This window comes from Homo sapiens, chromosome 4, assembly GCF_000001405.40.
Source record: "Homo sapiens chromosome 4, GRCh38.p14 Primary Assembly".
NCBI lineage: Eukaryota > Metazoa > Chordata > Mammalia > Primates > Hominidae > Homo > Homo sapiens.
This window is the reverse complement of record NC_000004.12, coordinates 142,165,709-142,181,655: the sequence shown is the minus strand read 5'-3', so window position 1 is coordinate 142,181,655 and position 15,947 is coordinate 142,165,709. Positions and strand designations below refer to the sequence as shown.

The following is a 15,947-nucleotide window of genomic DNA, read 5'->3' as shown; positions in this document are numbered from 1 at the left end:
TTTGAATGAATGAATGAATGAATGAATAAGCAAACTATTCTGCATCGCTAAAGTTGAACATTATGTAGCCATTTCAGTTATTCGGTGGATTATGAGGTATGTAGAGCTGAATGTAAACAATGTGCCTGAAAGAAAGTATGACATGTATGCAGAAGACATCAATCTAGACATATCAGTGAATGTGTTGGAAAGGTTAATAAGTTAGAATGCCACAGATAAATACAGTTATATTTATTTTTGAATGTTTGTTTTGTCTTTCCTCCTTTTTTTTTAGTTGTAAAATAAGAGAAATGTTTTCATAAAATCTTTTTGCAACTTCTACTTCCAGCAAATACGGAAACTAGGTAACAAAAACATTCTGCAATCTCAGAGTACCTAGAACAGTTGGATGCAATGTGCCATCCTTTTCCCTTCGTCTCAGGAATGGAAGGAACTTCAATGCAGAGTGGTTAGTAAGCAAGCCCTGAAACTACAGCTGTCCTCAGGATATTCATAGACACCAAGCATCTAGATAAAGCCTTAGGTTTGCAAGCTCTTATGGGAAGAAGACTCAGACAAAATAGTTTTTCCCTTTTTCTTCTTTCTTACTACCAGCCCTTCATGTAGCGTTTAGTGGGCTGGCATCATCACACATGATCCACTGATTACCTTGAGTACCCCTGGTTTTTTGCTTTCCTTAATTCATTGACTGAGTAGTAGTTATTAAATATTTGTTGAAAATAATTTACTGTGAGACAATTCTGAAATTCTTTAATTTGTGTTACAAAATAGAATCATACATCTCTAATGAACTTTGTTTTAATTAGGTGAGAACGTCTTTAATTATATTTTTAATATTTATAAGCAATACTTATTCAATTAAAAATGTTTCCCATATTAGTTATAGCATTTTAATTTTTCCAAATTTAAAATGGGTTGATACTATGTTCAAGAGATAGTAAAACATAATTAGGAGTTCAAACTGTGTAACAATGAAAACCCGGGTTTGAACCTGGTTTTACCATCTATGCTAGTTTGTGTGATCCAAGTCAAGTTACTTAACCTACTCAGGCTTCAATTTCTACATCTTGAATTAATATTTGTTCCTCAGAGGGTTGTTGTCAAAATTAAATAATATAATCCCTGAAAAACTAGCATTTAACGTAATGCTAGGCCCATAGCATATATGTACCCAATGATTATTATCTATTAAAGTGATAGAGGAGGAGATTTAAATTATTAGGATAAATACAGTATAAAATATTGGCTTTATTAGGCACTCTCTTAAAGTATTGTCAGATTTAACATGGAAAAAAATAAAATGGCTTGTATATGTACCTTCTGTTTTTTTTGTATTCTTATTCCAGAATCATAATCATTAGTCTATAATATCATATGTTGGAAAGATTTGTTTTTTCTAAAAGAAATTTATTATAGTATAGTTTGTCTAGAATAAAAATGAACTATTATAAGTATATAATTCCAAGATTTTTAGTAAGTTTACAGAGTTGTGCAGTCATCATCACAATCCCATTTTAGGACATTTTTGTCACCCCAAAAAAGTCTCTCATGCCTGTTTGCAGTCAAAGGAACTTTTATATTTGCAGAGTATTGGGGTATGATTTTTACTCCTGGACCTTTCTTACTCTGTACTTTGATCAAGTATATTAGGGCATAAGGTCTAGGATGAAGCTGAGAAGATTTTGAGGTTGGAAGGAATCAGGAGACCAGGTTTGGGTATTATCTCCATAGGGACAACATGAAAATACCAGAAGTCAAACTAGGCAGAAATAGAACTGACTAGACCTTGGAAGGTGGCAAACGAAATCAAAGCAAGTGAACTCGTGGATAAGTGGGAATAGGCCAGGAAAGGAAATAAAGCACACTGGACTTTGCTTATTTAAAGGTCATATAATAGTACCTGGAAAATTTGAATTAAAGCAAGAATAGGACTAAATAAAGGATGTACATAAAAAAGACGTTTCATTGGTTTAGAAAGTACAAGTAAGAACTTGCAAACTAAAAAGTGGAATAGTAGAAGCCACTGTGTTCTGAACCAGTAAACACATTTTCTTAGAGGGGGAATTTTCAGCAAAAATGAATGTTTTTTTTTTCACAGAGCTAATAAATGGCAGAATCAACTTTTGATCACAACACTCTTTGATTCTAAAATTTTCATGAAACCTTTTTTTTTTTTTTTTTTTGAGATGGAGTTTTGTTCTGTTGCCCTCACTGGAGTGCAGTGGGGCGATCTTGGCTCACTGCAACCTCCACCTCCCGAGTTCAAGCAATTCTCCTACCTCAGCCTCCTGAGTAGCTGGGACTACAGGTGCATGCTGCCACACCTGGCTAATTTTTTGTATTTTAGTAGAGACAGGGTTTTACTGTGCTTTCCAGGCTGGCCTTGAACTCCTGAACTCAGGCAAGCTGCCCACCTCGGCCTCCCAAAATGCTGGGACTACAGGTGTGAGCCACTGCGCCCAGCCCAAAACTGTGATTTGTTTAAAACAGGAGTAAAGGTAAATATCAATTTAAGTACAGATCATATAACTCATTTAATTATGTAAGTGAAATCCAAAAGAGGTAAAATACTGTTTTGTTTTGTTTTTTTCTAATTCTTTTCTCCAAACCCCACTTCCAGTAGAAAATGGAAAGGGTGCATTGGGGAAAGCAGAGAGGCATGAAGCCCGTTATTAAACCCTGTGAGACCAGAAGGGTATATTTAAGTACACTAAAGTGTGAATTTTCTTTTGTGATCCATATTATTTTCTTCTCAGTCAGAACTGAGAGCATATATATTCCTTCCTCTGGATTCAAGAGACCACATTTTTTTTTTTTTTTTTACAAGTAGGGTTTGAGCTAGAAAAAAACAAGTGGAAATAGTTCTAGATTTTTTTTTCTCTGGACACTTAATTCTGCCACAGGAGAAGAGACACACCACTCTAAGTCATTTTTCCCTAAACTCACCAATCCTAATCCCCTTCTGTTCATGTCCCACCTTCCCTGTCTTTTCCTTCTTGTTTTTCTCCTTGCCTGTTAATCATCTCTCATCTCTATTTTTTAATGGCTCCACTGCATAAAATAGTAGCTTGGTTGAGCAAACAGATTAAGGAGTGGAGGTAGCAATGGAGTGGGAAGGGAAAGGATGGATAAGTAACAGAGTAAGTCCCACAATGTGCACTTGTGGTCAAGGAGTTAAGGAAAATAAATTATATTTCTCTTCTTGTCTGCCTCCTGCCGTCTTCAAACCCTAACCATAAGTCAAGGACTTCAATATCTGAGAGTATTATTTATCTTGCAATAGATAAGTTTAAGTATAGAGATACGGAAACCAGTTTGTGAGCTATTACAATAATCCTAGTGGTAGAAATGTTGGGGTGGTTGCAATAAGTGTAGAAATAAGTGGTTGGATTCTGGGTATATTTTGAAGGAAAAGGCAAGACTTTCTGAAAAGTTGGATGAAAGATAAGAGACAAAGAGTCATAGACAATATTAAATGGACCTGCCATAATCTAAGATGGGGAAGAGTGCAAAGGAGCTGGGTGTTGAAAGTGGGGAGCAGATCTCGGGATCAGTTTGGGACAGGTTAAGCTGGAGCTGTGAACAGGAGAGCTTTTGTTTTCATTGGAGTCCAGCGGGAAAGTCCAGGCTAGAGATGGAGATTTGGAAATCATTAGTGCAACATGTGTATTTAAACCATGAGATTACTTAGGAGGGACATATAGACAAAAGAGTTCCAAGAGCTGAGTCTTGGAGCAAGAGGATAGGAAAATAAGGAAGACCAGGAAAAAGGGACTGGGACAAATATACACTCAGGAATTTATAAGTCCTTGTTTTAATTGTATTTTGGTTAGCAATTAGAGCTTATGAATGTGAATGTTACTTCATTATGTGCTTTATATTTTTTTCACATCTCCAAAATATGACATGGATAGTAACAACATATACACACACAAACGTGAGGATGGGGATGTAGGTGTGCATTCTTATGAAAATAATATTAAATATATTAAATTACCGTATTTAAATGAATATATTAAAGTATATAGTACACTTTAATTCACTCTCTCAATAGAAAAATATTATGAAACTAATTTCAATTTTCATTATCTGTGCTTTGCAGTACTATTTATATTCTATAAAATATTTTGTCCAAGTAAATATTTTGCCTTTCTTCCAGAGTCATCTGATTGATCGTTGACTCAAGTGTTTGGATCCAGTTTAAATTTCATACTACTATAAAATAGAGTTTAGTTATGTTGTTTTTATCTAGATAATTAAATTATACTTATTACTTCCCATTTAAGAAGCTATAACTGTTAAAATATATGACATGTTTGAAAAGTAAGGCACTGAATAGGTAGATAAAATTTATGTATACTTAAAATTATTTTGTGAGTGGTGATTTTTTTTTTCCATACCATACTATTTCATCCTTTCATCCTGGACACCAACGTTGGCTTTTATTATGGAAAATGAATCTTTCAGCCTCAGTAGGTGAGGTGCTCATCGTTAAAAAGACTTCATCAGAACAACCGATGCCTGCTACACAACTCTGCTCCAAAGGAGACTGAATTAGGAGAAAGAGGCAGGAGTTAGGATTATGTCCCATCATGGTGATTGAAGAATGTATTGGGGAGAGGAAAGGGAATATATTGGGAGGGAAAAGATGAAATCATGATGAAAAAGGTTAGGAGAGCAAACACTGGTAATGAAGAGGGAACCAAAGCAACTTTTGTGAATAAGATGGGTTGTAAAATTAGCCTTGTAAAAGGTGCTAAGAAAATTTGAATACCTTAAGAAGGAACTTTTATGAGAGTCCTTGTGTAGCATGATCAAGGGTTTAGAGGGGATCTCAGTCAAAACAATGACAGGGTGTCTCTAAAGATGCTCCGTCCCTGCGTTGGTATCTCTGGAGATGCTTGTCACAAGTGCTACAGCATACTAAAGCAGAATCTCTTAGCAGATGTTGCCAAGGAATCTGCATTTTTTTCAATAAACATTGAGGCCCTGTCCTCATCCCCAAGGAAATCTTATTGTGACTGCTAAAATTTGAGCACCATTCAACTAGGGCATGAATAAAGAACATGTGCAGAATAAATATTAGAAATGTGTGAATTAGAATAGAATGGAGTGGAGACTGTCAGGGAATTTGATAATGAAAGTAGTAATATTCAGGAAAATAGTAACAGTGAACTTCTGGGAAAGAATAATAGTAAAGAAGGAAGGCAATATTGATAGGAGTAAAATGGAATGGATAGAAGTGAGTGTATGAGAGGCCAGAGAAGACACATTCAGAAAGCAGTCATGTGGTTTTTTTCCAATTCTGTGAAGAAAGTCATTGGTAGCTTGATGGGGATGGCATTGAATCTATAAATTACCTTGGGCAGTGGGGAGGGATAGCATTAGGAGATATACCTAATGTAAATGATGACTTAATGGGTGCAGCACACCAACATGGCACACATATACATATGTAACAAACCTGCATGTTATGCACATGTACCCTAGAACTTAAAGTATAATAATAATAATAATAATAATAATAATAATAATAAAAGAAAGCAGTCATGTGAAGAGAGAGATGGAAGACCCCACAAGGCCATGAGCATTCTAGCTTTCCAAAGGCTAAGCCACGGGGAGCCTGTAAATAGCCATAAGAGGACACAGGAAGCGATCTCTGATGGACACAGAATAGCAGACCTGCAAAGAGGGATCACATAGAAGTGACCACATGACTCTGCATTGGGTCTGTAAGTAGGTCCTGCTTTCTGCTCTTGGAGCTGCTGGGTATCAAAAGTTGTTCAAATTCTGGTGACACATCTGTATCTTTAGAGAATCATTTTCTTTACAAAAATAATGTGGAGCTGTTTGATTTATTAAAGTCTGTTACGGATTAAACTTTACATCCAGCCTGAGTTCATGATTTCTTTTGTAAAGTCCTTACTACACTCCTGCATGAGATCTGTCTCAACCACTCAAGAAGCCAGAAAGAGACATAGAGAATTGGCTAGGACTACTGTTTCCTTTCCCCTCCTTGCAATTTTTTTTTTCATTTACTTTAACTTGCATTAAGACATACATGATAGCAAATTAAGGTATGTTTTATCTGAAGCCCCTAACTTCTGACATTTAAAAGTCTACAAGTAAACTAGTAATGCGTTTCTTAGCCTTCATAAATCTGATACCTTCATTGACTTCTTGTTCAATCTTCTGAATGGCCCAAGCCTCAAAGTGCATTTCTTTTAATCTTTTACTAAATAAGTAAATAAATAAAATAGGAGGAATATTCATTATATGTTTGCAAAAAAAAAATTGTTTCCTTAAAGATTCTGATAATTTTCCCCTGAAAAATCACTAGTGTGAGAAGAATAGAACAGATCATGCTTCCTAGATGTCAGTTTTTCCTAGTGGTGTCTGAGGTTTCAAGATGAGGAATAAAATTATGGAATTTAAATAATTGAGCTGATAAAAATGTAGTAGACATATTCAGTAAATAACATCGACTGCAAAGTTTTTTGAAAAAATGTCTTGACATTTGGGTATAATGGGATGTAAGCAAGTTTACATGAATCTTGTGCATGCATGAGCCATTACTTCCCTCTTCTTTCCTTCTGGCAACTGTTTTGCTGTTTTGCAGCTTTCCTGCTGGAATGCCTCTTCCTGATGAAATGGATCAAAGATTCCTTCACTCTAAAGAATCCCTGCTCCCATAATGTGCTTGATTAGTTCCTAGATGATGATTATAAAAGTCAATAATCCTCAAGCCTGTAATCCCAGCACTTTGGGAGGCTAAGAGGGGAGGATGGCTCGAGGCTAGGCATTCAAGACCAGTCTGTGCAAGCATAGTAAGACCTAGTCTCTATGAAAAAATTTTTTTTTAATTTAATCAGGTGTGATGGCTTGTACCTGTAGTCCCAGCTACTCAAGAGGCTGAGGCGGGAGGATCATTGCCGACAAAGAGTTAGATGATGCAGTGGACTCTGATTGTGCCACTGTACTACAGCCTGGGTGACAGAGTGAGATCCTGTCTCTTAAAAAAAAGAAGTCAATAATTCTTTAGTTAATAATCAATTTTAGATTTCTTTGTATGTTAAATGGAAAACCATAAGAAGAAAAAGTGTCGTGATAAAATAACACTATGAAATAGCATTCTGCTACTAATGTCCTTTTTCTGTCCAATAAATTTGTCCATGTGCCCACTTGACATTAATTAATTTTCTCCTCATTTCTCAGCTATTAAAATTTACTTCCTCCACACCCCTCACCTAGTAACATGGGGGGAAATGTTAGGTAGTAGGTATTGAATGCTATTTCTGTGCCAAGCACAATTTTAGGCACTTTATATGAATGACTACTAACGTTACACACCTCATAGAATGGTTTAGATGATTATTCCCACTTTCCTGATGAGGAAGAAGGCTGCCCAAAGTCACCAAGCTAGTTAGTGACAAACCAGGATTTACATTGAGATTGGCTTGAATCTTTTCCCACTGGCTTATGTGGCCTCAAGTTCATTAGGAATTAATAGTAATACTAATTTGTTTTGAATACTAATACTTGACATACATGATTACATATATGTGCATGCATGAGCCATTACATATACTTGACATATATGTAATCACGTCAAGTATTAGTGTTAATCTTCCCAGTGTTTTAGCAAAACAAGATTACCTAGTTTTAAAAAGCATTTTCGTCACCTTACATAAAAATTGCTAGTGCATCATTAAAAATCTCTTAGGACAGTTCTTATCAATAGGAAAGAGTGATACTTGGAGTTCTGTTTATCATTTGCCATCTGATATTAAGGGCTGAACATTCATTATGCTGTTTGTGTAACTTATTTTTATCTTTGTTGTTGCAGTACCGGATACCAGTTTATTTACTATTCACCTGAAAACACAGCCAAAGCAAAGGAAGTTCTCAGCAACATCAATCAACTACAACCTCTTATAGCAACCCATGCAGACCTACTGCTTAATTCTGCAAGCCAGCATTCTCCAGACAGCTTGAAGAATTCTTTAAAGATGCTTTCAGAAAAAGTAAGATCCAAATCATCACTATAGTTGGGAAAATGAAATACTCAAATTCCCATTGGTCTGGCTTTCTGCATACATCGCCATTCATAGCATCTGGAAATGTAAAATAGAGTAGGTTAAAAAGTAAGCTTCAAAGTATTGCCACAGGATCAAAATGAATTGGCCTCATTCTCTGTTCAAATCTTACTGAGCACTCTTTTTTTTTTTTTCTTAGTAGGAAATGAAACCTGTTATTGGTTGGTATATATCTTCTCTTTTCCTTGGCATCTTTCATTTTCTTTGGTTTATGGTCTTATTAAGTGAATTAAATTAGATTTTGAAAATTACTTTATTTTCCTCTGGTGATCACCTAATTTTTATGCATATAAAGCTTTACATTTGAATAGGAATGCCACTTCATTTGAAGGCAGAACTTTGATGTGGATTTACATCAGTCTGTGTGGGGTACTTCCTCTGCCTCAGTTTGCTCTCTACAACTTTATTTACCGAGGAGAGGTTCCAAAAATTTCCAAATGTGTCAGTTATTTGAAAAGCAGTATAATCTAAGCCTTAGTTTTTCCAAAGGTGACTTGTTCCTTTATCTGCAGAAAGGAGAGCTAGTCTGGCATGGGGTAGACACTCAATATCAACTTCCAGAACTAACGAGGGCGGCTCGCTGTGTGATAGAAAGCTGAGATAGAAAAAGACAAGTGACAGTTGATTTTCAATGTAAAACCAGTGTCCACTTTCAATGTGTGCATCCTTCACCTGTGCATTTTAAGGAGATCATGTAATTTTTTATGAGAAACTTTCAGTAAATATGCCGTTGGAGAAACTGATCAAAGAAAATTCTCGTAATTGTAGAGTAAGACAAAAGTGTAGTTTTCCACCTCTCTGAAGAACAGATTCATAGAAACCTGGATCTTATGTATGTCCATACTTTTTATTCAGGTATGTTAATTTATAATAATATCTTATGCTTATTTAACATTGCAGTTTATACATTTTTATATGTTATTCTCATAGGAGAAAACATACCTATTTTCATGAAAAAATAGTTAATATCTATTCAGAAAGTTCGAGTGAATTGTCTAATAAATTAAAAAGTGAAAAGCCAAACTCAGAACTTCCAGTTCAAAATGCAGCATTCCTTCCAGGCCAGAACACATGCCTCTGTCGTGAAAAGGGAGGAAAATATTGACCCAAATTTTGCAAGTACTTACTTTGCGTCAAATAGGGCAAGGGGCTTCACACTTTATGTCATTTTATTTAATCATCAGAATTATGGAGAACATATTATCTTCATTTCACACAGAAAAAGGCTAAAGCTCAGAGAAATTTTAAAAATGTGAAAAGTCATGCAGCTAGAGTCAAATACAGGATTCAAACAAAACCTGGGTTCAAACCCAGATCTGGATGACTCCAGAATGGAAGTTCTTTTTAGCGCCCTCCGTCTAATATATGGATTTTGACATTTCCTTATTTAAAAGTTTTTTTTTAAAAATGTTTGTTAGACAAATGCCTTAGTAATACCTAAGTATTTTGATATTCAATAAGTATGTTTTTCTGACTAGGGAAAAAGAAAAAAGAGGAGGTTGTTGCATACAGTAAAATAATATAATTTCATTTCGGTTCATTTCTTTTTTGGATTTATAGATGAGGTGAGGTTTTTCTGGGTTCACCTAAGCTGAAAATTTTAGCGAATAGCACACCACTGCAGTGATTACAGAGCAGTATTTATATTCTTCTTGTGCACTGGGCAGGGATTTGTCATTTCATACATCATTTACAACTTGCTGCAGTGATTTTGGTGGTGGGAGGAGGTTAGGATGGGCATTTTCTGCTCCTTGAATCCAGCATTGCTCCAACTTTTTCCCCTATGTTTTCTCTTTTCTACTGAGTAGACAAGCTTAGTCGACTAATAAATCTCTCAGTCCTTAAAACTAGGAGGATCTTTTTTTAAGTTAAGTTTGCAAGCCATGCATTCTTTTAAGAATTCATGACTGGAATTTCAAAGAATTATCTAAGTTAACAGTTTTGTATAGTCTATGAGCACTGTTAGTATCTCATGGTTTAGAACAAAGTATGATCCATGAATTCAGGTATGAAAGAGAGAGAGTTTTAGTGGTATTCTAAATTTAAATATAATTGAATATTAGTGGGATGTAAGCTTTAAAAGTTCTGTTTTTAAGTTTTGGGCTTGTTGTATACTATGGATTATAAAATAAAAACGTTTACTTCATGGAGAGTCCCCTGGTTTCCTTTACTGATTCTGAACTTGCGTGTTTGGAAAATAGGTACCTAGTGTTGTTTTCTTAGGGACTAATCCATATAGCATATTCAAGACATTAAGGAGTTATCTATATTCATGCTTATCAGGGAAATGTGAAGGTTTTATAGCCTTTGAGCACCTGAACATGGAAGAGTTTACTGTTGTAGACTTGGGGCCCCTGGGGAAGACTGAGGGCAGCCCAGGGCAGTGAAGAAGGAGGTATTCTATTTTGTAATGAGGTGGCATCTCTCCTCTTAGGTAAGCCATTGCACCTGAAGACAATAGCCATGAAATCATTATCAATTAAACATATAGTCTGGGGGAAAAGCAAGTGGCAACAGAAAAATTCAACTTGCTGAGAGGGCATATTCCAGGAGTCTTTGAGTAGGCAATATTTGTAGATCCAAAGGCAATTTACATCATCTCTACTGCTACTGAGAACCAAGGCACATGGATAGAGCTCCCCAACCAAAATTCCATCCATCTAAATAAACACTGTTGGTAGAGACAAACACATACAATTTATAAACTAAAAATAATTCCTGAATTCATACTATTTGACAGTCACTGTGCTCAACAGAAAAGGTAGAAAAATGGAATAAAACACAGGCCTGTTCTTCCCAGGAATTCCAAAACTCGATAGTAGTGGTTATTACGATGTTGAAGTGACAGTAATAGCTAGCATTTATTGGTGGCTTAATAACTCTGAGATACTCTTATAAGTGCTTCAATTTTCAGAGTTCCATGAGGTGGATAATATTATTTTAACATGTAGTCTTCCTAATTCTATGAAGTAAGTATTGTGAGTAGCCTTAGTTTACACAGTTGAGGAAACTGAGGCAGAGAAATATTAAATTTACTCACAATCACACACGTTGTGTTTTTGGCTCCAGATTCTGTGAGCCTGACCAGTATACTGTGTCTTCAGATTGCTATATGGATGCTTGTACATAGGACTACGGAAACAAATGTGGGGGCAGGGAAGGAGTACTATTAAAATTTCACAAAAATCAATATTTTTAATGTTTCATGTTCTAATATGCACAAACTCAATTAAATTGTATCATAATTTTAACATTCTTGTTATGCCTTCTTATGGATAATTGGGTTTGGTTGTTGCATATTAGTTCATGAAAATATTAAAGAATAGTATAATCTTATGGTGTAAGAATCTAACAAAAGCCAAGCTGAGTTTTTCTGAATAATTCCAACAAAAAAGGCAAAAGATAGACCAAAATTTTAACATACAGTATGAACAGTTAATAATAGAGTGAGATAAAAATGCATTTCCTTTTTTCTCAGACTAAAAGTATGCAATTCTATGAAGGAAAAAAAACAAGGAATAGATAAAATAAATTCAAACTAAAATAAATAATGTTTTTAAAGGCCTGAATGTGGACAGTGTTCACGTATCTCTCATAGCTCAGAAATCTATTAGCGTTCAAACACCCATCACTTTCTCCATTCCATTGAGATTGATAGACCTTGTTTAATAAGTCATTATTATCCTGCTCATCAAAAAGCACTATTGAGCACTTAATTATGTGTGGTATCGTACTTGATGCTATATGACAAATACTACATAGATATGGCCCTTAATTTTTACAACCTAAGAATTTAAAAGAATGGGGTGTTTTATAATATTGCATTTGTTAAATAGTTAAATAATGGCTTTTATTGTAAATGTTAGAGGCTATACTCACAGCGTATTTGAGAAATTCTCATAGCTTATAATTCCTACTGTTCTTTCAACCTCAATATACTATACCAAAATGTTCTCTTATATTCAAAGAAAAATAAAAACTATTGTATTCTGAAACATATACAATCAGGATGTTTTCAAGCAATGTTGTTTTCTATAATAGCAATGCCAGGCAGCTAGTGTGCTAAGAAGTTGAAGATACACATAATAGAGAGAAGAATGTTATGTTGATTACTTAAAACTGAGAATAATTTTTTTATTGTTTATTCACTGTAACCACTCCTGGGTCTATCTCAGTCCCAAACTGTGGGAAAGAACTTAATGAGTAGAAATTTTGTTTGTTTTTTTAAGATTGGCAAAAGTATGTATTAGAAGTCTAAGAAAACTTGAGAATAAATGGTTTAGATAAAAATGAAATTTCAGGACAGAAATTATGTTGCTGTTTTTCATAATTGCCTTTAAATGGTAATTATTTAATTGGTGAAATAAGAGATAGTATACAATAAACAAAATTTGTTATTAGAAAATTGTACAATAAGAAAAATAAAGATAAGAATGTAAGATAACATTGACAATGAGACTATATATAAAATTTATGGAATCAGAACTTCTGCTGTTTATGATGGATTAACATGGACCCTCCCACCTTAAACAACAAGAAAGTGGACAAAATGTAGACATAATGGTTTTTAAGCACTGGAAAATAGGTAACAAATTATGTGATCCTTATAACTATCTAGATTTCTTCCTAGGGCAGTTCCTAGGCTGTAGCAAAAAGGAACCTAAACATTATCTTCTCAAGGTGAAGAGACAGAGATTAGAGTTTGGGAGGCCAAGATTGCTAGAATTCACAGAGCAGAGTACCAGAGAGGAAGGAGCTTCACACAGAAGGAACCCTGGAGATCTGTAAATGAGTGCCTTTAACTCTTTATGAGTACCAATCTGTGTATGCATGCGAATAAGCTACCCATGTCCACAGAAATAAATATTAGGAATAAGCTTAAAAACAATTCCTGGTGGTCACACAGGCCCGGGAATAGTTTATCTTTCCACCAGTAAAGTGGTAAGACTTTTTAATACAACGGGAATTGAATAAAGTCCTCAGAAGTGTATGGCCCTAGTAGCGGGACTAAATTAGTCTTAGATTAGAGGCTGCTCTTAGTCTACCCTAACAAGGTTTGAAAACAAGGCTTGAAAGGATCCCACTGATTCTGAGTAATTTTACTTTGCCATAGAAAAATCCAACATTATTTAAAGGAATGCAATAAAATCTGACAGCCAAGAATGTAAAGTCAAAATGCCTGCCATCCAACAAGCACATACTAAGCATGCCATGAAGCAGGAAAATATGATCCGTGACCAGAAGAAAAATCAAGGAATATAAACAGAAATGACAAAAAAGGGAGAGAGGGAAGCATAAAAATATTGGCAGAAATCATGGTCAGTTTTTCAAAATTTAATGAAACTACAGACCCAAGAAGCTCAATATACTCCACACAGAATAAATATAGAAAAATAAACTCAAGTACATCATAATCAAGTTGCTGAAAAACAGAGATAGAACATTGTGAAAACAACCAAGAAATAAAAGAAAAAAAGGACACATGTTTCTCTGACGTTCACCAACAAGAATGATAGCAGACTTCTTATTAGGCTTTAGGCAAGCCAGAAGAAAATAAAGTCACATCCTCAAGCTACTGAAAAAAAAAAAATCCTGCTAACTCTCAAAAATAAAGGTGAAATGGAGACGAGTTCAGGCAAACAAAAGCTGAGAAATTTCATAACAGATTTGTACTACAACAAATCATAAAGGAAAGTCTTCAGGAAGAAGGAAATGATACCAGGAGATATTTGAATGTACACAAAAGAATAGGCAATGCCAAAAATGGTAAATATGTGAATAGATTTTTTTATTAATTCAAACATGTTTCTTATATATATTTACTCTTCCAAATAAAAATAATACCAATGTATTACGTCCTTTGTAACATACTAGTGTAGCAAAGGCATAAAGTTCAGTGGACTAGAATAGAGAATCTAGAAATAAACCAACACATGTATGTTCAAATAACTAGACAAAAGCACAGCAGAAATTCATTAGGAAAACAATATCTTTTTTAAAAATTTAATGTTAGGTTCCAGGATACATGTGCAGTACGTGCAGGTTTGTTACATAGGTAAATGTGTGCCAGGGTGGTTTGCAGCATCTATCAACCCATCACCTAGGTATTAAACACTGCATGCATTAGCTATTTATCCTGATACTCTCCCTCCCTACCATACCATCTTCCCAAAGTCCCCAGTATGTGTTTTTCCCCTCCCTGTGTCCATGTGTTCTCATTGTTCAACTCCCACTTATAAGTGAGAACATGTAGTGTTTGGTTTTCTGTTTCTGTGTGTGTTTGCTGAGGATAATGGCTTCCAGCTCCATCCATGTCCCTGCAAAGGACATGATCTTGTTCCTTTTTATAACTGTGTAGTATTCCATGGTGTGTATGTACTACATTTTCTTTATCCAGTCTATCATTGATGGGCATTTGGGTTGATTCCATGTCTTTGCTATTGTGAATAGTGCTGCAATGAACATACATGAGCATGTATCTTTATTATAGAATGATTTATATTCCTTTGGGTAGATACCCAGTAATGAGATCGCTGGGTCAGATGGTATTTCTGGTTCTAGGTCTTTGAGTAATTGCCACGCTACTGTCTTCCATAATGGTTGAACTAATTTACATTCCCTCCAACGGTATAAAAGTGTTCCTATTTCTCCACAGCCTCACCTGCATCTGTTGTTTCTTGACTTTTTAGTACTCACCATTCTGACTGGCATGAGACAGTATCTCATTGTGGTTTTGACTTGCATTTCTCTAATGATCAGTGATGTTGAGCTTTTTTGTTATCTGTTTATTGGCCACATAAATGTCTCTTTTGAGAAGAATCTGTTCATGTACTTTTCCCACTTTTAATGTGGTTGTTTTTTTTTTCTTGTAAATTTGTTTAAGTTCCTTGTAGATTCTGGATATTAGACCTTTGTCAGATGGATAGACTGCAAAAATTTTCTCTTACTCTGTAGGTGGTCTGTTTACTCTGTTGATAGTTCCTTTCGTTGTTCAGAAGCTCTTTAGTATAATTAGATCCCATTTGTTAGCTTTTGCTTTTGTTGCAGTTGCTTTTGGTGATTTCATCATAAAATATTTGCCCATGCCTATGTCCTGAATGGTATTGCTTAGATTTTCTTTTAGGGTTTTTATAGTTTTGGGTTTTACATTTAAATCTTTAATCTATCTTGAGTTAGTTTTTGTAAAAGGTGTAAGGAAGGTGTCCAGTTTCAATTTTCTGCATATGGCTAGCCAGAGGAAAACAGTATATTTTCAACATATTTTGCAGAAACAATTGGATATCCATGAGCAAAAGAACAGTTAACTTTACCTCATACATATATAAAATTTAACTCAAAATTGATCATAAACCTTAATGTACAGTGTAAAAGAACAAAAGCAGGCAAACTTCTATAAGAAGTCATGAATTGGGAGAAAATATTTATAAAATATGCATATGTTAAAGGATTTGTATCAGAATAATAATGCATTCTTAGAACTTAATACAACAAACAGCTCAATTAAAAATGGGCAAAAGAATTAAAAATATACTTCACCAAAGAAGACTTATGAATGGTAAATAAACACATGCAAAGTTGCCCAGCATCATTTACCATTAGAAAAATGCAAATTCAAACTATCATGAGATGCCCTTAGCCACCTACCAGAACAGCTAAAATCAAAAAGGCCGAGGATAAAAAGAGTGGAGGAGGATATGGACCTGCAACTTTCATGCATCACTGTTATGTACACAATTATTTGCACACTTTGGAAATGTGAATGTTTCAGCAATGTTTCATAGCTTGAAAAACACCGTATAATTTGGTCATCTAACACCTAGTTATTGATTCAAGAGAAATGTTATTCTGTTG

General features: G+C 34.9%; 1 protein-coding gene across 64 annotated transcripts in view; it reads left to right on the top strand.

The window, feature by feature from the left end:
- The window catches only part of INPP4B (inositol polyphosphate-4-phosphatase type II B), an 823,376-nt gene that overhangs the window by 664,880 nt on the left and 142,549 nt on the right, over positions 1-15,947 (top strand). For all 64 annotated transcript variants that reach the window (NR_169617.1, NR_169615.1, NR_169599.1 and 61 more), the window contains one exon: positions 7,847-8,024. Coding sequence is in view for 54 of the 64 variants with exons in the window: in NM_003866.3 (NP_003857.2) it covers positions 7,847-8,024 (178 nt within the window). In the remaining 10 variants the exon portion in view is untranslated. The remainder of the gene's footprint in view (positions 1-7,846; positions 8,025-15,947) is intronic.